Here is a 25,681-nt window from a genome sequence, read left to right as displayed (position 1 = left end):
TGCACCCTTTGACCCTTACATCATCCAATACTTCACCATTGTTTAATTGTTATGTATAGTTTTAGTCCCTGTTGAGTTTGTAAGTTCTTAAGAAAAAAGACTGTATCTTTTAGTGTTGTATGCTCAGTAATATTTTTGCATAGAAAGAACTCAAGATGAGTATTTTCTAATTCCAGTGCCATATCTGCTATACCACATTGTCCCTTATTTTTATCTTTTATGTTCCCATTAAAAGATACACACTTAAGTGAAATCAAAACCTTGAGATAGATCAGGGGTTGACAGACAATGCATGTGATTTAAACCTGGTCTGCCACTTGCTTTTGTAAATTTTTTTGTCATATAGCTGTGCTCATTTGTTTATGTATTATGTATGGCTTCGGCAGCAGGAATGAATAAGACAGAGACCCCATGGCCCACAAAGACTAAATATTTACTATCCGACATTTTATAGGAAAAGTTAACCAACCCCTGATATCAGAAGCAATATTTGATGATATCAGTAAACTGTATTTTATCATATAGTACTTTGTTATGAGCTGATTCCTAGATGTTACAAACATTTGTAATTTTTTTAGATGATTTAAAACTTTAGTTTTTGGTGGCAAACGGAATAATGAATTGACAGTTTTCCACCATTGTGCCTCTTTCGGCTTTGACAAAAATTTTGTAGCGTTTTTACCATTATAGAATCTCAAATGACAGAAATATGCACAGGGAAGTAGTGTAAAACAGTGATAACTAGGATAACTTAGAGAAAGGTATAGTTAGTTACCTCATCTTATGGACATGAGTCTTTTTCAAGGAGAATCACTTCTTGGAATTGAGTGCAGAAAACTCTGATGGTTAGCATTAAATGACTCAAAACTTCTGAAAGAACCCTGTAGTTCTTTTTGTTAGAACTGGATTTAAAGACTTGATTTGAAGACCCAGGACCAAAATACACATTTCAATTTTGTGGTAGTATACTTCTAGGCAGGATATATTGGCTGAGTTGCAGTGATTGTATAAATTACGATGGCATGCCTAGAAATAGCAAAATTGTGAAACTTTATTTTAATTATGCTGCGAACTTACTTTGTGGCTGTAGTTAAATGACTTAGTTTGTCTTGCCTTTCCCCAGAATCAGAGGTCTTGGGTGATTGACTCATTGCTACTTGCTATTTACCCATAGTCGAAGATACCCTCTCCAGCCCCGACTGTACCCTAACTACAGAGCATCTGGTTGTGAGATCCATGCCCATATCCTTACGATGTACAGATGTTCATATATTGTATGGGTTCAGAGGCAGGCACAAAAAAGGAAAGGCCCGTGTTATGAAAATAACGCTTGAGTGCATATGCAAATTTGTTTGTTTTTGGATAAATTCACCACACTGATGTTTTGAGTGCTCACCATGTGTCCTTCACTGTGCTAAGTGCTGGGAACACAACAGTATATAAGATAGGATCCATACCCACACAGCACACAGTCCTGTGTGAGAGAAATGGCCCGGTGAACAGTTACGAAGTAGAACACGTCTGCTCCAGATAGAAAAAAGAGGTATAAAATCTTTTCAGCTAACGAGAACACAGAGAACGTTTGTTTTGTTTGTTTGTTTTTTGTTTTTTTTTGGGGGGGGGTTTTGAGATGGAGTCTTTCTCTGTCGCCCAGGCTGGAGTACAATGGCATGATCTCGGCTCACCACAACCTCCACCTCCCGGGTTCAAGTGATTCTCCTGCCTCACCTTCCCGAGTAGCTGGGATTACAGGCACCTGCTGCCACAGCTGGCTAATTTTTATATTTTTAGTAGAGATGGGGTTTCACCAGGCTGGTCTTGAACGCCTGACCTCAAGTGATCTGCCTGCCTTGGCCTCCCACAGTGCTGGGATTACAGGCATGAGCCACCACACCCAGCCCAGAGAACATTCTTAGCACTCTCAAGGACCTGGAACTTGTTTCATGCAGTGCTGGGTTTGACAGGAGTGAGAAGACATGAAGCCAGAGGGGAAGCAGGCCAGGTTGAAGGGCCTTGTGATCCTTACTGAGGGAGTTTGGCCTTTATCCTGATGGGGAGGTCACTGAAGATGTCAAGCAGGAGAGTTTATTGATCCTCCTTTGCTTTTAAGAAGGATCCCGGTTGAGGAAAGTGCACACACTTTTGCTTTTATATATACAGAGTTAAATGAGATGAATTCAAGACATCAGATATTTTCAAGAATGAAAACTGAGAATCACTAGTACAATTAGTTACTATATGTAATAGACTTTATTTTTCAAAATAAAATTAGAATTAACAAAAAAATCATATAGTTTGGAAAGAGAAAAATGCAATAAATCTATAATGCCATAGCCTAAGAGAATGTATTTGAATTACAACACTATTGAATAATTGTAACATTGTAATGTAAACGCTTGGATATCTCACTGCCTCAATAGCTGTGAAATTAATACTTCTCTGATAACATTTACAGGAACGACAGAAACAGCTTGAGAGTCTTGGAATATCTCTTCAGTCTTCGGGAATCAAAGTTGGGGATGATAAATGCTTCCTTGTGAATCTGAATGCTGACCCAGCTCTGAATGAGCTTCTGGTGTACTATTTAAAGGTGAAGTAATGTGCTTTGCTACTAGATTCTTGTTACAAAATAGGACAATATTTCACAGTACTTTAGTAAACTTGGGGAACCATGCTTACTCAGAAAACAGCAAAAAGTTATAGAACCATCTTGGGTTTCTGGACTCAGTTTTCTTTTTTAGTCTTTGATGCCATTCAACCTGACAATATAAAAAAATGATACTCTGATATTATTTCCAACAAGTCAAATACCTTACCTACCATTATTTAACGTGATTTGTATCAGGGAATTAAGTAGATAACTTTAAAAATGGATGACTTTGAAGACTAAATGATTCATTTAGTAAGTATACGAAAGCTTTTATGGTTTATGTGAAGCACATTCTTTTGTGAGCAGTGTGTTAGCTCACAAGAAAAAAATGTATAAATAAAGTTCTTAGGACCAGTTGGTATGAAATTTATGTTTCCAGTAACTCTTAGGAAAAATTAAAAATTTGGGTTATCAATCTATTAAAAGAGAGAGAGTATAGGTTATTTAGAGACTCAGTGAGTCAGAGCACAGAACAGAAAAGAAGACAAATATTGGTATCCACTGAAATCTATAAATCATGGGATATATTAGTAAGATAAGAGACAACTTCAGAATAAGTCTGAACCCTGAGACACCACACAGATTCGAGGAGTGCCCAGAATGGGCTGTGTCAAGCCCAGAGCACAAATTACTTATCATATATGATGGACTACACGACTCTAACACAGAGTTGATAACTGTTGGCACACAGTTTCTTTCCCCTCACATGTGTGGGTTTAATGAACATGACCAGGAAAGTAAAGCTAACAGGCTGACTATGTGGGAAACAGCTCTAAGAGAATTGTGTGGTTTCATTTCAGAAAAGCCTGGAGAGATCCTGGGTCAGTGACTCTGTGTCATTTTGAGAAGCCCTGTTGTTAATAAGTATCTTATATGATGTATTGTCATGCTGTGAGTTAGGCTGTGTCTTTGATGCATACCTTCATATGTGCATGTCTCAAGTGTTGTGGTTCAGTGGCGGCAAAGCTGGGGTAGGAGGGAGTGACCTGTCTCTCTAGTCTACGGCCAAGCCCTTTGCCCCCTCTAGTCTAATTCCTTTGTAAATGGAGGGAAGGTCTCTGGCTACTTTGCCAGGTTCCTGTGAGGGTTGGAGATACAGAAGTACTTCGTAAACAGAAGCACTATACAAATAGAAAAGATCCCACATTCCACTTTTTTGTTTGATACCTGTATGGTTTCTTATACACATATTATCCTTGCCTATTAAAAAATGATATATTATTGGCTGGGCGTGGTGGCTCACACCTGTAATCCCAGCACTTTGGGAGGCTGAGGCGGGCAGATCACTTGAGGTCAGGAGTTCAAGACCAGCCTGGCCAACATGATGAAACTCCGTCTCTACTAAAAATATAAAAATTAGCCGGGGTGGTGGTACATGCCTGTAGTCCCAGCTACTTGAGAGGTTGAGGCAGGCCAATCGCTTGAACCTAAGAGGTGGAGGTTGCAGTGAGCTGAGATCATGCCACTGCATCCCAGCCTGGGCAACAGAGCAAGACTCTGTTTCAAAAAAAAAATGTATTATCACATTACTTACTTTGCTTCTGAACAGTGCTGGTAGCATTCTGAGTTAGGATGTCAGCTGGGGATATTCATATGAATGTGACCGGGAAAGTAAAGCTAACGAGCTGACTACGTGGGAAGAGATGCGATGTTAGAATAGGACCTAAATATTCTGTCCTTTTCTCAGAACCAGACATTCTTTTTCTTTGCATTGTACTGTAGTTCAAATTGGTACACACAAACACACATATCAAGAAAAAACTCTGATTCATATCTGCTCCTTAACTAAAAACGTAAACAAAGAAGCTGTTTAAAGATGTTTGGAGAGTCATCAAAGTTTCTGGTCATCTTGTGTGGAGGTGTTTGGGTTGTGTTTCAGACTGTGTGGCCAGCCCTGTTTGGCCAAGTCTGAGGCAGTGTTGATTTCTTGATCGCCCAAGCTAACCCCACAGCAAGCATATCTTCAAGACAAAGCACATTCAAAAGGATGATCTCAGTCCAAGAACAGTTTTATGGTGGAATTTGGAGGCTGAGCATTATTCATTACTTTGCCTTCCAATTCAAAAGTCAATTTAGATGCTGGGCAGATGAATTCACGTCTCTGGATGACTTCAGCCACTCCATGTGTAAGTGAAGGCATTGGATTAAAACATCTCCAAAGTTCTTTCTAGTTCCAGCTGTACAGTTCTCTTAGTCTTCTAGAATATAACACCCCCTTTATTTATCCTGGAATTCTTTATAGTAGCATACTTCAGAATCATTATACCCATCTATCAATAAAGAGACTGAGATGCTATCCCTGCTTAACTTTATCTTATTTTGATTACCTGGGCACACAAAAGGAAATGATTGTGCATTTATTTTTATATTTTTTTAATGCCTACATATGCCAGGCCTTTGTTAAGTGCTTGGAATACAAGATGGACAGTAAACCCACAGTCAGTCAGTGTCATGGAAGGAGTTAAAATAGGGCAGGATGACAGTGGCTTTTTCCAATTGTGAGCTCAGGAAGCACCTCTCTGAGGATGTGACTTTAAAAGCTGAGATAGAAACGGTAAGAAATGACCCATGTCAGGATCAGGGGAAGAACATTTCAGACGGAGGAAACAGCTAGTAAAAGGCAGTAGGATGGAAATAGGCTCAGTGTGCTCAAAGAACAGATGGGAGGCCGATGTAGCTGGCACATGCTCTGTGAGGGGAAGATGGTGAGTGTGAGGGTCAGAGACAGGCAGGGACAGGTTGTAGAATGCTTTGTAAGCCCGGGTAAGAATTTGGGCTTTATTGGAAGTTCAAAGAGAAGCCACTAGAAGGTTTTATTCTTACTTTTTTTTTTTTTTTTTTTGAGGCAGGGTCTTGTTCTGTCACCCAGGTGAGAGTGCAGTGGTACGATTATGGCTTATTGCAGCCTCAATCTCCTGGGCTCAAGTAATCTTCCTGCCTCATTTTTATATTTATTTATTTATTTATTGAGACGGAGTCTTGCTCTTTCGCCCAGGCTGGAGTGCAGTGGCACGATCTCAGCTCACTGCAACCTCCACCTCCCAGGTTCAAGCCACTCTCCTGCCTCAGCCTCCCGAGTAGCTATGATTATAGGCATGTGCCACCACACCTGGCTAATTTTTTTGTATTCTTAGTAGAGACAAGGTTTCACCATGTTGGCCAGGCTGGGCTTGAACTCCTGACTTTGAGTGATCCACCCACCTCAGCCTCCCAAAGTGCTGGGATCACAGGTATGAGCCACCGCACCTGGCCACAATTTTTTTTTTTTTTTTTTTTTTTTGGTAGAGACGAGGTCTCACTGTGTTGCCCGGGCTGGTCTTGATCTCCTAGGTTCAAGCGATTCTCCTGCCTTGGCTTCCCAAATTGCTGGGATTACAGGTGTAAGCTACCATGCCCACTCTTAGAAGGTTTTAAATAGGGGATGGTGTGACCAGCTGTTGTGGCAGGAGTGGAAGGGAGTGGCATGCAATGGAGACACAGTAGGAAGCTCCTGTATCCACAGGCAAGAGATCCTGGAGGCTGAATCTAGGATGTAGTCATGGAGGTGGGGATCACAAGCTTATTCTTGATAGACCTTGGAGGAAAAATCTGTAAGGTTTTCCCTGATTGACATGGGGTGGGTATGGGCTTGTAAGAGAAAGAAAGAGGACTCAAGAATTATATCTAAGCTTTTCAGTTGACTGACTGGTGGTGGTAGTGCCATCCATTATTATTGGAGAAGGAAATAGACTTCTGTTGGGTTAGGGGAGATGGGAACAAGAGTTTAGCTTTGGCGCTTATTCCATTTGATATATCTTCAGACATCCAAGTTGTGTCAAGTAGGCTGAGTAGGCAGAAAATAATAGTGGCTGAGGCTGGGCACAGTCGCTCACACATGTCATCCCAGTACTTCAGGAGGGTGAAGTGGAAGGATTGCTTGAGCCCAGGAGTTTGAGATCAACCTGAGCAACATAGTGAGACCCTGTCTCTACAAAAAAAAAAAAAAAAAAAAAATTAGTTGGTCAAGGTGGTGCCTGCCTGTGATCTCAGCTACTCAGAGGCTGAGACAGGAAGATTGCTTGAGCCCAAGAAGGTGAGGTTTAGTGAGCATGGATAGTGTCTCTGCACTCCAGCCTGGGTGACAGAAAAAGACCCTGTCTCAAAAATAAATAAATAAATAAAAAATAAGTGACTAAGACTGCGATAGTGGTTGTGGAGGTGGGGAAAAAAACGGAACTAAAGTATGTAGCTCTAGGGTGGTGATAGAGATGTAGTTTATTTGTAGATGGCATTTAAAACCATGGGAGTAGGTGAGTTAGTCTAGGTCAGGGTCAACCAACTGCTTTTCACAGGCCAAATCTCGCTCCCTTCCTGTTTTTGTTTCAACCATGCCTGGCTTCATTTGCTTTTAAAAAATCTTTTAGGCCAGGCATGGTGACTCACACCTGTAATCCCAGCACTTTGAGAGGCCAAGACAGGTGGATCACTTGAGGTCAGGAGTTTGAGACCAGCCTGGCCAACATGGTGAAACCCTGTCTGTACTAAAAATACAAAAAAATGAGCTGGGCATGGTGGTGCATGCCTGTAATCCCAGCTACTCGGGTGGCTGAGGCAGGAGAATCGCTTGAACCTGGGAGGCGGAGGTTGCAGTGAGCTGAGATTGCACCATTGCCTTCCAGCATGGGGGATAGAGCAAGACTCTGTCTCAAAAATAAAATAAAAATAAAAAAAATTTTCGCAAAGGTAATAGGACAATATAAGAGGGCTCAGTGTAAATGATTTCAATTGTGTATATGTAAGAATACAGTATTAATCAGTGAATTTGGTTTTTTCTTAGGAACATACATTGATAGGGTCAGCAAATTCCCAAGATATCCAACTGTGCGGCATGGGAATTCTTCCTGAACACTGTATTATAGACATCACGTCAGAAGGCCAGGTTATGCTGACTCCTCAGAAGAACACCAGGTAACATACTTGAATTAGTGTTCATATCACAAGAGTTTTTCAGAGGAAGAAAGTACTCTAGTGGCAACAGTGGCCTTTGTTGCTTTTAAGTTGACCACATTAAGTAATCCAGTTGGTTGGGCGGGCCCCTTACATTTAGCTTTAATGCCTCTCACACCCATTCCTTCCTCTCTATACCCACTGCCATGGCCTTACGTATTTAGGCCCTCATCAAGTCTTGATCAGAGCCCCTGCCAACACCACGAGCTGCCTCCTGGTTCACTCACCACAGCCCTAGAAGGCTTTCCTCTGTTTGTGACAGAAAATCCCTTATAACCCCCCAGTTTATCTCCTCCTCCTCAGCACCTGCCAATCCTTTGACCTGCTAACTCCTGTTGGGTCTGCAGGGTTAAGTGCTGCCATGTTCTCCTGTGGGGAGTCACTGTTTGGTCTGAATGCACTGCCCTTAAGAGGTATCGGACCATCGCCCTGTTGTGGCAGTGCTTCTTAGTGTCTGCCTGTGGGCTGTGAACCCTTATTACCCCATTAGACCATGAGCTGCTTGAGGACAAGGGCCTTTCTTTTTTTGATTCTCCATTCCTGGCGCATAATATGAGACTAGTACACAGGAACTTAATACACCATGGAGGAATGAAGGGGCTCCAAATTTTATGAATGGCACGTTTGTCACTTTGTTTCCTTCAGCTATAGAGCTGTTATCCCCTGTTACAGAGTTGGAAGTATAACAGTCTGTAACTGTTAGAGACAGTGGTTAACTGAATTATGTTGACCTTTCAAATGCTAATTTGTTTCATTTTATGATGTCAAAAAATCATTAATATCACTGATTTTATCCATAAAGTCTTCAAGTATTGAGACTATCAAGCTCTGGGGAAGGATCAAGTGAGAAAACAGGAGCAGAAGCTGGTGTGGCCCTCACAGCTGTGTTGTGCTGTTCTCTAATGAGGCCATAAATAATCACACAGAACCCCAGCCTCAGGCAAGGGTTCTCCAAGACCAGGATGCAATAAGACAGAGCAGGCCACGTCATCGTTGCGTTTAAGTGCAGATGAAAACATGGTCACTGTGCCACCCAAAGAATACCCTTCTCTGAACCAGTATGAGTGACTGCTACTTCTTCACCAGTTGCAGCGTTATTCTGTTCTAGCCTGAACCCATGGATACGATTTTGTGAAATACCCATTCATACGATTACTCCCACTTTCTGACAGTACCCAGCATATGTGGAACCCCTGCGTTCTTAAATTCTGTCTGAAGTCATCCACCCAGAGCCAAAATCTTACAACAGTTTCTTTCTCACACCGGCTCCCTGCCTCCCCTCCCCTCTTCCCCTCTGCCCTCTTCTGTGCCTCACTTCCTCCTCTCCCCTTCCCTTCTCCCGATCCCTTCCCTCCTTTCCTTCCCTCTTCTTGACAGGGCCTTATTCTGTCACCCAGGCTGTAGTGCAGTGGTGCAATCATAGCTCACTGCAGCCTCCAAGTTCTGAGCTCAAATGATCCTCCCACCTCGTCCTGCTGAGTAGCTGGGACTACAGGTGCGTGTTACCACACCCACCTAATCTTTTAAAAACTTAGTTTTGTAGATACAGGGTTTTGATATGTTGCCCAGATTGGCCTTAAACTTCTGGGCTCAAATGATCCTCCCTCCTTGACCTCACAAAGTGCTGGATTACAGGCATAAACTACTGTGCCTCGCCAAGATCCAGTTACTTTTAGTGTGTAAAAACCTGCATCATGAAAGAAATCTAGATAGGAAATAAAATTTTGCATGTATGCATACACATAAATCACGAATACTATATCACCAGGTAAATGCTCCATAGCTTTACAGAGTTTAAAGAAACTAAAATACTGTAGGTTGAGGTGATTGGCATCTCTTACAGAGGAAGTAGAAACCCAGCTGGGCTTGGATTACAGAGTAAGAGTAGGAGGATGAGAGGAATGGGAACCTTTCTCCAGGTTGTAGGACTGATAGAAGCCTGGATTTGGAGGAAGAGTTGATCATGTGTAGTGTACAGAAAATAAGCCTTTTCTTTTTTTTTTTTTGGCAGGAGTTAAGAGGCCTTCCTTGTGGGAGGAAGAGCCTTTAATGTAAAGTTAAAAAAATTGTACTTGATATCCTGTATCTTAATAAACGAGTCCTTCAGCAGGAGAGGGGCATGATGACACTGGTGTCCCAGGAATATCAGTGTTACCATGCTGTGCATACTCTTAATTATTTCCCGCCCTTCCAAATTCTTCCCTTAGTGGTATTCTACCCACCACTTCTGTTGAATGCCATTTTCATGATAAGCAGCACAGTGGAACTGGTAAATTTTCCTTATATTGATAGGATGTGATCATTTTCCTTGCTATGGGAAGTTACCGAAGACTTTAATATAGGTCTCATTTCTCATTACTGATATCAGGAGATGTTTGTAGAGTCTGGTTGTTTGGTTATTTTCATTCACGTAGATTGGACATATTTGTTTTTGTTGTATATTGCTACCATCTTTTCATTATTGGCTGTAATGGTTCCCTCTTTACTCCTTAATATACTGTGGAACAAATTTAGAACTTTTAAAAATGGAGGTTATTTATTGATCTCTAATACTTCATACCATAAGCATCTTAAGTAACTACATAGCACTTGGAACTTTGAAAAATGGGGGATAATAATCTATTATACAGGCATACGTTGGAGACTTTGCAGGTTCGGACTTCCACAATGAAGCAAATATCATAGTAAAGCAAGTCACACAAATTTTTGATTCCCCAGTGCATATATAAGTTAGGTTTATACTATAGTCTACTAATTGTGCAATAACATTATATCTTAATATATATTCCTTAACTTAAAAATACTTTGCGGCTAGGTGCGGTGGCTCACGCCTGTAATCCCAGCACTTTGAGAGGCTGAGGTGGGCGGATTACTTGAGGTCAGGAGTTCATGACTAGCCTGACCAACATGGCAAGACCCTGTCTCTACTAGCCAATAATCCCAGCTACTCGAGAGGTTGAGGCAGGAGCATCGCCTGAACCTGGGAGGCAGAGGTTTCAGTGAACCGAGATTACACCACTACACCCCAGCCTGGGTGACAGAGAGCAAGACTGTGTCTCAAAAAAAATTTTTTTTTAATTAAAACTCTGTTGCTAAAAAATCACTGGAGCCTTCAGCAGGGGGTAGCCTTTCTGCTGCAGGAAGGTCTTGCCTCCATGTTGGTGGCTGCTCACTGATCAAGGTGGTAGTTTTGCTGAAGGTTGGGATGGCTGTGGCAATTTCTTAAAATGTGACAACAGTGAAATTTGCCACATTGATTGACTTTTTCTTTCAAGAACGATTTCTCTGTAGCCTGTGTTGCTGTTTGGTAGTATTTTACCCACGGTAGAACTTTTCAAAATTGGAATCAGTTTTCTTCGACCCTGACACTGCTTTATCAACTAAGTTTCTGGAATATTCTAAACCCTCTGTTGTCATTTCAGCAATGTTCACAGCATCTTCACCAGGAGTAGATTCCATCTCAAGAAACCACTTTCTTTGCTTATTCATAAGAATCAACTTACCCACTAATGTTTTGTCTTGAGGTCACAGCAGTTCAGCCACATCTTCAGTCTCCACTTCTTATTCATGTCTCTTGCTATTTCCACCACACCTGCAGTTACTTCCTCCCCTAAAGTCTTGAACCCCCCGAAGGCATCCATGATGATTGGACTCCTTCCAAATTCCTTGTTAATGTTGATATTTTTACTTCCTCCTCTGAATAACAAATGTTCTTAATGGCATCTTAGAATGGCGAATCCTTTCCAGAAGGTTTTTAACTTACTTTGCCAAGATCCATTAGAAGAATCACTGTCTATAGCAGCTATAGCCTTATGAAATGTATTTTTTAAATGATAAGACTTGAAAGTGAAAATTCTTGATCCATGGGCTGCAGAGTGGATGTTGTGTTATCAGGCATGAAAACAACATTCATATCCTTGTACATCTCCATCAGAGCTCTTGGGTGATCAGGTGCATTATCAATGAGCAGTAATATTTTGGAAGGAATCTTCTGAGCATTAGGTCTCAACAGTGGGCTTAAAATATTCAGCAAACTGTGATGTAAACAGACGTACTGTCATCCAGGCTTTGTTCCATTTACAGAGCACAGGCAGAGCTGATTTAGCATAATTCTTAAGGGCCCTAGGATTTTCAGAATGGTCAGTAAGCATTGGCATCAACTTAAAAGTCACCAGCTACATTAGCCCCTAAGAGAATCAGCCTGCCATTGAAGCTTTGAAGCCAGGCATTGACTTCTCTTCTCTAGCTAAGAAAGTTCGAGATGACATCTTCTTCCAGTAGAAGTCTGTTTCATCTACATCAAAAATCTCATCAGTGATCTTGCTGCAGCTTCTCCATCAGCACTTGCTGCTTCACCTTGCACTTTTATGTTACAGAGGTGGCTTCTTTCCTTAAACCTCATGAACCGACCTCTGCTAGCTTCCAACTTTTCTTCTGTTGCTTCCTCACTTCTCCCAGTTCATAGAATTAAAGAGAGTTAGGACCTTGCTCTGGGTTAGGGTTTGGTTGAGGGAATATTGTGGCTGGGTTGATTTTCCATCCAGACCACTGAACTTTCTCCATATCAGCAGGAAGACTGTTCAGCCTTATCATTCATGTAGTCGCTGGAGAAGCACCTTTAATTTCCTTCAAGAGCTTTTCATGTGCACTCACAGCTTGGCCAACTGTTGGTACAGGAGGCCTGGCTTTTCGTCCTGTCTTGGTTTTCGATGTGATTCCTCACTGAGCTTAATTATTTCCACCTTTTGAGAGATGTGTGACTCTTTCTTTTACTTAAACAGTTAGAGGTTATTGTAGTTATTAATTAGCCTAATTTCAATATGGTTGTGTCTCGGGGAATAAAGAGACCCGAGGAGAGGGAGAGAGTCAAAACCCATACTACATTTACTAAATTTACCATTTTACATGGGTGCAGTTCACGATGTTCCAAAAACAATTAGAGAGGTGAGGTCAGAGGTCCCTTATCACAGACCTCCATGACAGACGTGAAGTGAGCACGTGCTGTTTGAAAAGTATCTCCTGTAGCCTTGCTTAACATAGGATAGCGTTTGTAAAAAATGTGATATCTGCAAAGCACAATAAAGCAAAGCGCAGTAAAATGAGATGTGCCTGTGCTTTGTACCATAAACATTTTAGGTGAATCAGCAAAGGAGTAAATGCAAATATTAAAATTCACCAAGAACAGGTTGTGTTTGGGGGAATTATTGTTTTCCCTAGTAACTATATCTCTATGTTATTGGGAAATTAAAGCAGAAGACATGATACTGTACTCATCATTCACGTTTGATCTCTTCTCCTTACAGAACATTTGTAAATGGGTCATCTGTCTCCAGTCCAATACAGCTACACCATGGGGACAGGATATTATGGGGAAACAATCATTTCTTCAGGTATGATGTTGTTCATGTCCCTTAAAGAGATTGTTGAAGATTGTGCTCTGAAATAGAAAATACATGTTAAAAAGTAAACCTTTCTCTACAACAATTATGTTATTGTGTGTGTACGTATATATTTGCTGCATGTGTATTATATATGTGTGTGTGTGTTCATTCACTGTATATGGTCTGAACCCTAGGGACATATAAACAATATACTCTGGAAAAATACTGAGTTTACCTACATAGTTTTTCCCTTTTATTTCCCACTAGAAGATGATTCTTTTGCCGTGTGGTGTAAGAATTTATTAATGTTTTTCTGACATGTTTATCTTTTTTTTTATTTATTTTTTTACGGAAACGTAGTCGTGGTTTTAGTTTCCTTATCTATAAAATAAGGTTCTTTTAGGAATTCTTTTCAGCTCTAAGTCATGGCAAATTTTACTGTAATGGGTTAGACAGATCATTTATTCCCCTGACAGAACCAGAAATCTAAAGGAACATAGTTGTTAGTGTTGGCTAAGCCTCTCAAAAAAAGTCATGGCTAAAGTCTGGTCACTGTCTTGGCATCTCTCTGTGGCCTGAAGTTGGCCATGCTGCACTGCCGTCAAAGCAGCATTCAGGTACAGGAAGAAAAAGGAGAACCATAGCTGCACTAGCCCTGACTGTCCTGTTCATCCAAAAAAACAGAGAAGTCTTCCCAGAGTCCCCAGCAATCTTCTCCTTCTGTCTCCTTTGCTAGAATTTGCCTCTTAGCTACAAAGGGGGCTGAGAAAGACTGTGTCTCACCTGGGGCTGTACATGTGGTTTCCCAAACAAAATTGATGTTGTGTTGACAAGGCAGGCAGGCTGGATATTGTAAAAAGTTAACATCCTGGTCTCTTGTTATTGTCACTGGTCGGTGTGCTCCAGATGTCATACTGACTTTTCTGTAGCTAACAGAGATCCTTTGCCATGGGCCAGTGATATTTTGGTTACTGAGAAAAGGGTAGATGGGCACAAAGAGCATGGAGCATTTTTTTCCTTCCTAAATTAAATGACGTGTAAACTGCTTTGTTTTGTGTTCAAAACCCTCATCGTTTGGATTAAGCTGATCTTTCCAGCTTTAGCTCTAGTGTGCTATACAAATTTTGAATATCCCGTTGTTTTACCCATTTCTCCAGGGAATATGAACATTTCCATTTTCACATCTTTTCCCACACTGTTCCCTCTGTCCTGCTTTCTCCTTATCCGTGAAGACTCAGTTCAAATGATTTCCTCCTGTCGCACCTTCCTTTATCACCTTGCTCTGAAAACGTCCTCAGCTTTCCTTTCACTCTGAGCTTGTCACAGGCGTGTGGCCTAGTGTCATACTTTCTGTTGTAAGTTTTTGCTGGCACATGAGTGTCTTATTTCTACGACAAGATTATCAACTTCCTGAGTACAGTAATTGCCTTGTACTTACATGGTATCCACTTGGCTTCTAACAGATACCAGTACTTAATGAATGACATGAATAAGTGCCTATCTTAACTTCAGAAAATAATACTCTTTTTCCCACCAAGACTCAATTTGCCTAAAAAGAAAAAGAAAGCAGAACGAGAGGATGAGGACCAGGATCCCTCCATGAAGAACGAGAATAGTTCTGAGCAGCTGGATGTAGACGGAGACTCCTCCAGCGAGGTGTCCAGTGAAGTTAACTTTAATTACGAATACGCACAGATGGAGGTCACCATGAAGGCCCTGGGCAGCAATGGTGAGCAAGTCGGGCGTGCACTTGAGAATCAGTTCCAGTTGGTAGAGGCTGAGGTGGGGAGATCGCTTGAGCCCAGGAGTTCCAGGCTGCAGTGAGCTGAGACTGTGCCCGTGAATAACCACTGCTCTTTAGCCTGGGCAACATAGCAAGACGTTCTCTCTTTAAAAAAAAAAAAACGGTAGAGTGTTAAAAATGTTTATGATTGGGGACTTTCAAATGTTAACAAAAAGGAAAATCTTTATGTTGCTATTCTCTGTATTTTGTGTCTTTGGCTTTAATTTATATTTATCAAAATGTTCTGCCTTAATATGCAGTCAGATCACTTTGATCTGATGGATAGAATCTCTCTTGTTTATTTTATTTTAATTTTTTGTGAGAGAGTCTCGCTCTGTCGCCCAGGCTAGGGTGCAGTGGCACGATCTCGGCTCCCTGCAACCTCTGCCTCCTGGGTTCAAGTGATTCGATTCTCCTGCCTCAGCCTCCTGAGTAGCTGGGATGACAGGCGTGCACACCACCATGCCTGGCTCACTTTTGTATTTTCAATAGAGACAAGGTTTCGCCATGTCGGCCAGGCTGGTCTCAAACTCCTGACCTCAGGTGATCCGCCCACCTCGGCCTCCCAAAATGCTGGGATTACAGGTGTGAGCCACTGTGCCCGGTCAAATTTCTCTGCTTTAGAAACTTGCCTGTCATTGGCTTATGATTGTATTTCTGGAGGATTCGCCATGTCTTAGGTTATGTGTAGAACATATAATAGACCTGCTTTTTCTGCAGGGAAGATGGTTGAGGATATGTCTGAGAATATATAACAACATGAGTGATTGAAAGTCAGGAAAGCTAAGTTTATGCCAAATTGTCTTTAAAGTATTAGGTGGTATAGTTAAGATGACAGACAACATTACCATATAGAACAACATTTGAAGTTTATTATGTTGTAACTCTCGATCATGTATCTTTTTTAAAAATGTGTTTAGATCCGATGCAGTCCATATTAAACAGCTTAGAACAACAGCATGAAGAAGAAAAACGATCTGCACTGGAGCGCCAGAGGCTTATGTATGAGCACGAATTGGAGCAGCTCCGGAGAAGGCTGTCTCCTGAGAAGCAGAACTGCCGGAGCATGGACAGGTTTTCTTTCCACTCGCCCAGCGCTCAGCAACGCTTAAGACAGTGGGCTGAGGAGAGGTAGGCGGCACAGAGGGGCCTGTTAACTTTATAGCTCAGGCTTGCCACCTCTAACACACCTAGGGAAAGTGTCAAATGGGAACATTAAGATGGTGCTTACAAAAGAATTATGTTAAAAGATAAGTGTTAACAGCCAAGAACCACTTTGCATTTGTTTTTAAAAGGGGAATTGCCCATTTATATTGCATTATTTAAAACTGTTGGTGTTAGGTGTTGCTCCATTTTCAGTTGGTATGGCTTTTGGATTTGGATATAGAAGTACACTTGATCATTGTATTATGCTTTAGGTTCTGAAGCTTGGGTAGATGATTTTTAGAAAAACAAAGTTGGTTATCTGGACTGATTAGCTCAGGTAGGTAAAGCATGGTGCTGATGAGATGCAGATTGCAAATTTGATCTCTGTATGGGCTAATTAGCATTGCATTGAAATGCCTTATCCCATGGTTGCAGACTGTACTTCACTAACCTCATACTATTTAAAGTTTGGTCTGCAGGCAGGCAGCTTCCCTTTTACCTGGAGATTGATAGAAATGTAGGATTTCAGGCCTCCACCTCAGACCTGCTGAGACAGAATCTTGAGTTGATGAAGATCCCCTGGTGATCTGCATACAGGGGCACTGCTGTTATCTACAGCCGGCTTGCTGTGTGGCTGCTTTCCAGTGCTTATCGTGTAGTTGAGGTTCAAGCGTGTGCATGGGTCAGTGTCAGCAACACAGTCCCTGCGTGCAGACGACCACGGAAAAAGCTCAATTCACACTTTGGCAATGATGTACTACCACTGTATGATTTTCTGACTAGCTGCTTTGTGTTAATCTCTTCCCTACCTCTGCCGCTTCTTTATTTTTTTTTAGAGAAGCAACGTTGAATAACAGCCTGATGAGGCTGAGGGAACAAATTGTTAAGGCCAATCTATTGGTGAGAGAAGCTAATTACATTGCTGAGGAGCTGGATAAAAGAACAGAATACAAAGTTACCCTACAGATTCCAGCCTCCAGCCTGGATGCCAACAGGAAGGTGAGGTTGCCGTTCCTTGAAAAAAACAAAGATCTCATTGGATAAGATCGCCTGATATTTCCTGGTGTTATTTAAGCTTCAGATCCCTGTCTGTGCCTGCCCCAAGTCCAGATCCTTTGTCCTCCATGCTTTTGGGTAGAATTGACTTCCTTTTCCATTCTCTACCTTTGAGTGTATGTATATTTTATCTGCTAGGGGAATATACTCTGCATCTCACCTGGCCCTGACAGTTCATTTCACTCAACTTTCTTCCTTCAAATCTGTTTAAATTCTTTCTTAGAAGTCTTTTCTGATTAATCTTCCCCGAATGTCTTTTTTTCCTTCCTTATGCTACCACTCTACAACCCCTTCTCCACAAGTTAGGTGTTCATTTTGCTTATGTTATTTTCTACTTGGAATAGCTTGCTCTGTAAAACTGCTCATTAGTTGTGTCATGGTGTCATGTATATATTCAGGATCATACTTTTTTTGGTATAATAAATTTAATAAAATGTAGGGGGAAAGTCCCATCACAATCTTCTATCTTTGCCATTCAGTTGGGTTTTTTTCCTTCATCTTTTTTTTTTTTTTTTGAGGTTCTTTTCTAGCTCTTGATCACATTCATACATAATTTTTGATGGATTAGGTAGAATTTTCTATTCAGATGAATTTTTTGTGGATCCGTGTGTTCTGTTTAGCCTGCGGTAGTCAACACAGCAAAACTTTAATCAATCCATCTTGGATATTCTATTTTTCTTTTTTTTGTTTGAGAGGGAGTCTTACTCTGTCACCCAGGCTGGAATGCAGTGGTGTGATCCTGGGTCACTGCAGCATCTGCCTCCTGGGTTCAAGCGATTCTCCTGCCTCAGCCTCCTCAGTATCTGGGATTACAGGTGTGTGCCACCACGCTGGACTAATTTTTGTATTTTTAGTAGAGATGGGGTTTTGCTGTGTTGGCCAGGCTGGTCTCAAACTCCTGACCTCAAGTGATCCACCTGCTTTGGCCTCCCAAAGTGCTGGGATTACAGGCGGATATTATTCTAATTTGATAGCAAGGATTACATCTTTCCCTATGACATCATAGCATCAAGGTCAGCGTTTTGTACAGGGTTAGATATTTGGCAAATATGATTCTTAGTATTTTGAGAAAGGTATTGTAAATATGATATGATCGTTACTTTACAGATCATTGTTTTTGTATACTCTGTGTGTATTTTGAAAATTTTTACTTAATTAGAACACTAGTATTTGTAGGGCAAAGTCTGGGTACAGTAGGACTCACCAAAAACCGAAGAGGAAGGCCAGTCACAAGGAGAAGGTTCAGGGCCTAGTTTCTCCTTGAAGGCTGAGAAGTACAAGATCCTCTTTGATTTTATAGTGTATAAGTTGAAAAAAGCAGAAACCTGAAAGATTTTTCCCCAGTAAGCATGACCGCAGCCCTTTTCTCCGTAACCTCTTTTGGGCTTTGTTGAAAGGTGTGGCTCTGCACTGGGGCAGCCATGTCAACGCCTGGAAGAACTCATGTCGCCTGGCATCTCTCCTTAGTTAGGCTGACTCTGTAGTCTTTCGTGCAACAGACTATTTTTTGGTATTTGAAAAGTTGTTTAAAGTCCTGTCCATTCTGTGAACTCTTCTCTGGTGAATTTTTTTCTTATTTCCAGTTTTGCAAGAGGGCTAAGTTATGGTAGCTGCACCATATTGCCCGTTGCTATTATAGTCCCAGGTCCAGCATTCTCCCCCAGGAAAGCCACTACCCACACAGGTCACAAATGGGATTTTTGTATTTATTCACTGGCTGGCTGAATATAAGGTAGGAGGGCCTTTAATTTTGACTGTAAGATGGCCGGGCATGGTGGCTCATGCCTGTAATCCCAGCACTTTGGGAGGACAAGGTGGGCGGATCACCTGAGGTCAGGAGTTCGAGACCAGCCTGGCCAATATGATGAAACCCCATCTCTATTAAAAATACAAAAATCAGCCAGGCGTGGTGGCAGGCGCCTGTAATCCCAGCTGCTTGGGGGGCTGAGGCAGGAGAATCACTTGAACCCAGGCGGAGGTTGCAGTGAGCCGAGATTGGGCCACTGCACCCCAGCCTGGGCGACAGAAAGAGACTCTGTCTCAATTAAAAAAAAACACACACACGCATTTTGACCGTAAGAATTCTCAAATGTTTGTTTTATTATTTAAATTTTTTTCTTAGAAAATGATTGTAGGCAAGATGTTAATGAAACATCAATGTATTTCAAAGTTCTCTTCAGTTTTAAGTAGAACATTTGAAAAATTAAGCCAGTAAACCTAAATTGATTAGATAACCAGTAGATATGTCTCCCTCGGGGAAATGTATAGGGGCTTTTTTTTTTTTAACTTTGTGGTTTTTTAAAAGTTCTAAAATTTTTTCTACATTAAAAACACATTGCTCAAGTTCTACTCTGAAAAAAATCCACATTGCTCTTATAAGCTGGAAAAACTTCAGAGCATACTTTTTTTGGGGGGGAGGTGTGATACTTGCATAATAGAACATTACTTTTTTTTAATTTTATTATTATTATTTTTTTTGAGACAGAGTCTTGCTTTGTTGCCCAGGCTGGAGTGCAGTGGCGCGATCTCGGCTCACTGCAACCTCCTCTTGGGTTCAAGCGATTCTTCTGCCTCAGCCTCCTGAATAGCTGGGACTACAGGCGCCCACCACCATGCCTGGCTAATTTTTGTATTTTTAGTAGAGACGGGGTTTCACCATATTGGCCAGGCTGGTCTCAAACTCCTGACCTTGTGATCTGCCTGCCTTGGCCTCCCAAAGTGCTGGGATTACAGGCGTGAGCCACCACACCTGGCCAAACATTACTATTTTAAAGTGAATAACTCAGTGGCATTTGGCACGGTAATAATGTGGTGTGAGCACCGCTTCCATCTAGTTCTGTATGATCTTAATAAGAAACCCAAACAATGCATATTTGGAAACTGGTATCATTAATTGCTTCCACGTGGGTGAATCGGGGACTTTTCAGTTTACTCTTTTAAGTGTTTCATGTTTTATACCCCCTGAAGATGCCATCCATTACAATAAAACAAAATTCAGCCTCTGAGAGGGACGTTTCTTCCCCATACACCGCAGCAAACTTTCCCTCTCTCCCCATTGATAACGTTGTGGTCATATGGTGGCCTGAATAAAATACTTTTATTTCAACTTGCTGTTAAATGTGGTCTTTTGGGTTTTAAACTTAAAATCATTTCCAACTACAGTCAAAATTTAAATGTGGTGGCTCATGCCTATAATCCCTGTGCTTTGGGAGGCTGAAGCAGGGGGATCACTTGAGGCCAGGAGTTCCAAACCAGCCTTGGCCATATAGCAAGACCCTGTCTCTATGCAAAACAGACAAAATTAGCTGGGTGTATTGGCATGCACCTGTGGTCCTAACTACTTGGGAGGCTGAGGCAGGAGTATCACTGGAGCCCAGGAGTTCGAGGCTGCAGTGAGCTATGACGTGCCACTGCACTCCAGCCTGGGTGACAGAGTGAGATGCTGTCTCTTTACACACACACACATGTATATATTTATTTATTTTTGAGAGTCTCATACTGTCACCTAGGCTGGAGTGCAGTGGCAAGACTTCAGCTCACTGCAACCTCTGCCTCCTGGGTTCAAGCAATTCTTGTGCTTCAGCCTCCCAAGTAGCTGGCATTACAGGCACGTGCCACCACACCCGGCTAATTTTTGTATTTTTAGTAGAGAGGGGTTTCACCATGTTGGCCAGGCTGGTCTTGAACTCCTGACCTCAAGTTATCCACCTGCCTTGGCCTCCCAAAGTGCTGGGATTACAGGCGTGAACCACCATGCCCAGCAACTCCCCCCAAAAAATTTTTAATGTAAGTTTATACTTAAAGTGAAGTTTATAAATAGGTTTTGATTGCACTTGGGTAGGAAGGTATTATGTTATAGCTTGTAAGACTTTTTGGAGGCTTTGTAATCAACAGATTAAAGGATGATTGCCATTTGAGTTTTGGTGTAATGACATTTGACTGATGGGGGTGGAATTGTCAGCTTTGACTTCCCCGCTGCCTGTGTGTTTCTCACGGTCATTCTTACTCTCTTTGCAGCGAGGCTCTCTTCTTAGTGAGCCTGCAATCCAGGTGAGAAGAAAAGGAAAAGGAAAGCAGATTTGGTCTTTGGAAAAACTGGACAACAGGCTGTTGGATATGAGAGACCTTTATCAGGAGTGGAAAGAGTGTGAAGAAGATAACCCAGTAAGTTATTTAAGAGAAAATCACTTAATTGGTAATTATGGAAGGAGCCAAGCTGGAATGAGTCTACCCATTTCAGGGGAAAATTGTTCTTTTTCCAAAATTATAATCCTATTTCTGGAGTAAGGTTTATTTTAATCCCCTAAATTGTTTAGCAAATTAACAATTTTAATAATCTCTCTTTCTGGTATCTTCTTTTTTCTTCTCATTTCTGTCTTTTAGATTTCTAGCAGAATTCTCCACTTTCCATTCTGACTTCTGTTGGTGTGCGGGTGTCTGTCTCCTGTGCTCTCTGGGAACCTCTTTAGGACAGAGGCCAGGCCTCATTATTTGTCTCTCCTCCCATTGCTCAACCCGTTTAACCTTGCAGATAATAAACCTACAATATATGTTTTGTAAGTTGAACATCGGTGGTATCTTAATATTTACACTCCAAGGAGCATTTTTGAAGAAGTTTTGATCATAACATAAATGCCATAAATCTATACATTGGTACTCTGTCCTTAACTTGCAGGTTTTCTTACTTAGATCAGCCATGTACTCATACGTATTTAAAATAGAAGTGCATATTATGTATGTCTGAACATATTTTCATTACCGTTAGACCTGTTTCCGCATAGAGTTGTTTACTTCCTTTGCCTTTTGTTTTGTAAAAATGATTTTTCCAGATTGTTATCAATAAAAATGTTTCTTATAGTTAGGTGATGTTTTTGCTTAAAACATGTTTGTCTCTTTGGTACCCCTCTCCTATTTCAACTTAGAAATAAAACAACAGTAATAAATAATGAAAGAGCCACTCCCATAGGGGCTCACCTTTTTTTTTTTTTAGATGGAGTCTTGCTCTGTCATCCAGGCTGGAGTGCAGTGGCACGATCTTGGCTCACTGCCTCCTCTGCCTCCTGGGTTCAAGTGATTTTCCTGCCTCAGCCTCCCGAGTAGCTGGGATTACAGGCGCCCACCACCACACCTGGCTAATTTTTGTATTTTTATTAGAGACGGGATTTCACCATGTTGGGCAGGCTGGTCTCAAACTCTTGACCTCAGGTGACCCGCCTGCCTTGGCCTCCCAAAGTGCTGGGATTATAGGTGTGAGGGCTCACCTTTTATTAGCAGCAGTTTTATCTGATGACTTGCTAGGAATAAGCAGAGCAGATAAGAATTACTGTCTTTCCCAAAAGAAAGGTGAAGTGTAGTTTAGCACACTCTACTTCTTTTTCTGGTCAACATATATTGTTTATTTTGTGGCAAAATTTCCATGTAAAGGAGAATAGCTGATAAAAGTAATGACCTGTTACTGGGATCGCTCTGTCATGGGTGGAGGATGCTCACCTCCATTGTGAATGGGAATGAGGAAGAGTGTGTATGGGAGTAATACAGCGCTGTGCTTTAGCAAAAACTTTAGAATGTTTTACTCTAAAAAATACAAGAGTTAGGATGATGAAAGTTAAGTTTAATAACCTAGAGTGCATCAAAAAGCAGTAGGTTGAATGCATTTATTGTAAATGGTTTTTCTGAAGTTGTGTGTTCTCAATCTCTTTACAGGTAATACGATCATACTTCAAACGTGCTGATCCATTCTATGATGAGCAGGAAAATCACAGTCTCATTGGGGTGGCCAATGTCTTCCTCGAGTCACTTTTCTATGATGTGAAGTTACAATACGCTGTTCCCATCATCAACCAGAAAGGAGAGGTTGGTTTTCTCTTCATGCCTTGTTTCCTGTAGAGAATAGTTTAAGAAACAAGAGGGTGGTGATGGGATATTGTTGCTATTTTTTGTCAGTAACGTGTCTTATTAATACCTTGTGTTTCCAAGGACTCTTAGGGTAGAGTAACTGTCAGAGACTAGGCCTCTAAATTCCCATACACCATTAACCTGACAACTTGACTGTAAAAGAGAAGAGAGGTCATCTCAAGGGAGCACGAACCAAATCTGGAGAAATGTTTCTGCCTTCCCTCATTGCTGCAGGTGGCAGGTCGGCTGCACGTGGAGGTGATGCGACTCAGTGGTGATGTTGGGGAGAGGATCGCAGGAGGCGATGAGGTGGCAGAGGTCTCCTTTGAGAAGGAGACCCAGGAGAACAAACTGGTGTGCATGGTAAGTCCCAGCTTCATCCTAGTATTACGTTGATACAAAAGTCATTGCAGTTTTTGCCATTACTTTTAATGGCAAAAATCACAATTACTTTTGCACCAACCTAATAGCTGATTTTGAGAACTGCAGGTCTTTAGATGGTAAGTATTATGTTCCTTTTCAAATTTTGGAAGTAGAGCAGAGCCTCCCCCACTCATGATAATGCAAAATCGCCTCCTCCATTTCCAAACACCCGCTAGTGAGCCAGACCTGCTGGTGGCTGAGAATCCCTGCAGGAACAGTTCTTATAAAAAGAAGGTGCTGGGGGACAGGAAGTCAGCGAGGGGCGCAGGTGCAATGTACAAGTGAGAAGGAGGTGAGGTGAAGCGAAGAAGGCCTAAACCTGACTCTTAATTCATAGCTCATCCTAGAACCAGTCCTCTTTCCCAGTAAACATCTCTAGAATTGAAGCTGATGTTGAAGGGAGTAAGTTACGTGTCAGCCACAAGGTAGCGGGAAGCTGGAGCTGTTGGAGTTGGGCTGCTTTCTGTAAGACTTCGCGTATATTGAGAGGGCTTCTGGTGTTTCAGTTACTTCACTAGGAAGGGGGAGGAATCTTAATTCACTGAAGGGTTCATTTTTATTATATTGTACTTGATTTCAGAGCAGCTCCTTTGAGTCATGTGATGATCGGAGATGGAGACATAGGGTTGATGACCCCACAATGGCCCATTTTAAAGGTGATGGACTAGTAAATGCAACTCTCAAATATCACCTTCTACTATTAAAGTAAAATAACATACAAGGGCACTTCTCACTTGGGAAATTTATCCTTATTACTGAAAAAAAGTAGTACATTCTAAGTCATATGGGCTTCCTAAAATGAGGTTAAAATACCATGTTTTTTAATGGAAGATCTCAAATATACATAAATAAAAGTAGTGAGAAATGTGTTACGAATCCCCATTCACCTTCGCTCCACAATTACCACCTGTGGTCAACCTCGTTTCATTCATACACTCAGCCACTTCTGTGCTGCCCCCCTCCCTTAGCACCCCAGGCACGCCCCAGCATCATATCTTATCTGTAAATAGTTCAGTGTGTGTCTCCAAAAGATGAGTCCTTAAACCAATATAACCATAATTGCCAAAATTAGTAATTTGTCAAAAATTAATAATTTCTTAATATTAAAATCGTCAGTTTTCTTAATTGTCTTGGTTGGTATGTCTCTTGGTCTGTTTCAGTCTTTAGGCCCTGGTATGCTCGTGCTCTCTCACTCGCTCGCTTTCTCTTTTTGCCTCTCTTACCACACCTGCAATTCATTTATTGTAGAAACTGGGTTGTTGACCTGCAGTTTCCCATAGTCTGGATTCTGCTGATTGGTGTTACTTAGTATGTTAAGATGCATTTGCTGAAAATTGGTAGTTAGGTATACAGGTGTTACCTGGGGGAGGGAGGCAGCCAGGGTGCTTTGTAGGTGGTGGCCTGCGTTCTTCCATCAGGAGCCACATCTTGTCTAGTTGTTTGTCTTTGAGGGATGATCAGCCACTGATGATTCTTACCTAGATGCATCATTTTGTTAGGAGTTACAAAAGAATGGTTCTATAATTCTATTGTCATTTCATTTTTCTCCAGAGAAAATCTTCCTATTAACAACTGTTTTGCTCTACAGAGATAATTTGTATAGAAAAGGAAGGATAAATGTTGCATCTCTCCCTTTATTTACAATTTTTATTTATTTATTTTATTTTTGAGACAGAGTCTGGCTCTGTCACCCAGGCTGGAGTACAGTGGTGTGATCTCAGCTCACTGCACCCTCCACCTCCTGGGTTCAAGCGATTCTCCCACCTCAGCCTTCTAGGTAGCTGTGCCACCATGCCCAGCTAATTTTGTATTTTTAGTAGAGACAGGGTTTCACTATCTTGGCCAGGCTGGTCTTGAACTCCTGGCCTCAAGTGATCCACCTGTCTCAGCCTCTCGAAGTGCAAGGATTACAGGTGTGAGCCACCATATCCGGACTAATTTTTAAAATAATGAATTGGTTTTCCAAAATGTGACAAGTTAGTTTTTTTGTCCTTAGTCTTAAAAGCATGATTATGAACTCTTGGACTTAACCATATTTGGTGTGTGTCTATCTGTTGCATTCACTACCTGTATTTAAACACAAATGTTCCCATCTTTGGCCAGTGGGAGCCGCTTCAGTTGGCCCTTGAGTCCTGTTGTCATAACTCTAACCTTCCTGGACTGGGGTAGCTTTCTTGTTTTCCGGTGTGATGAATATTCCGATCTCATCTTGTGTATTTCCTGTCCCAGACCTGGAATCAGCCATTTCTCCAAGGAACCTGATTCCTTTCAGTGGGAAGTGGTTTTTAGAGACCATATACTGGCATGTAATGGCCTTTTATGTAAAAAGGACGAGGACAAATAAGCTATATGACAATAAAT

The 25,681-nt window shown here is 41.5% G+C and overlaps 1 protein-coding gene across 8 annotated transcripts in view; it reads left to right on the top strand.

Annotated features, from left to right (window-relative positions):
* KIF13B (kinesin family member 13B) overlaps nt 1–25,681 on the top strand; it is a 196,111-nt gene that overhangs the window by 100,066 nt on the left and 70,364 nt on the right. For all 8 annotated transcript variants that reach the window (XM_011544459.4, XM_005273458.2, NM_015254.4 and 5 more), the window contains 9 exons: nt 2,456–2,590; nt 7,467–7,597; nt 12,940–13,026; nt 14,556–14,746; nt 15,721–15,931; nt 16,783–16,945; nt 21,020–21,166; nt 22,706–22,855; nt 23,132–23,260. In XM_011544459.4, the coding sequence (XP_011542761.1) occupies nt 2,456–2,590; nt 7,467–7,597; nt 12,940–13,026; nt 14,556–14,746; nt 15,721–15,931; nt 16,783–16,945; nt 21,020–21,166; nt 22,706–22,855; nt 23,132–23,260 (1,344 nt within the window). The remainder of the gene's footprint in view (nt 1–2,455; nt 2,591–7,466; nt 7,598–12,939; nt 13,027–14,555; nt 14,747–15,720; nt 15,932–16,782; nt 16,946–21,019; nt 21,167–22,705; nt 22,856–23,131; nt 23,261–25,681) is intronic.

This window comes from Homo sapiens, chromosome 8 (assembly GCF_000001405.40).
Source record: "Homo sapiens chromosome 8, GRCh38.p14 Primary Assembly".
Taxonomy (NCBI): Eukaryota; Metazoa; Chordata; class Mammalia; order Primates; family Hominidae; genus Homo; species Homo sapiens.
Note: the sequence above shows the minus strand (reverse complement) of the source record. Positions and strands in the feature narration are given on the sequence as shown.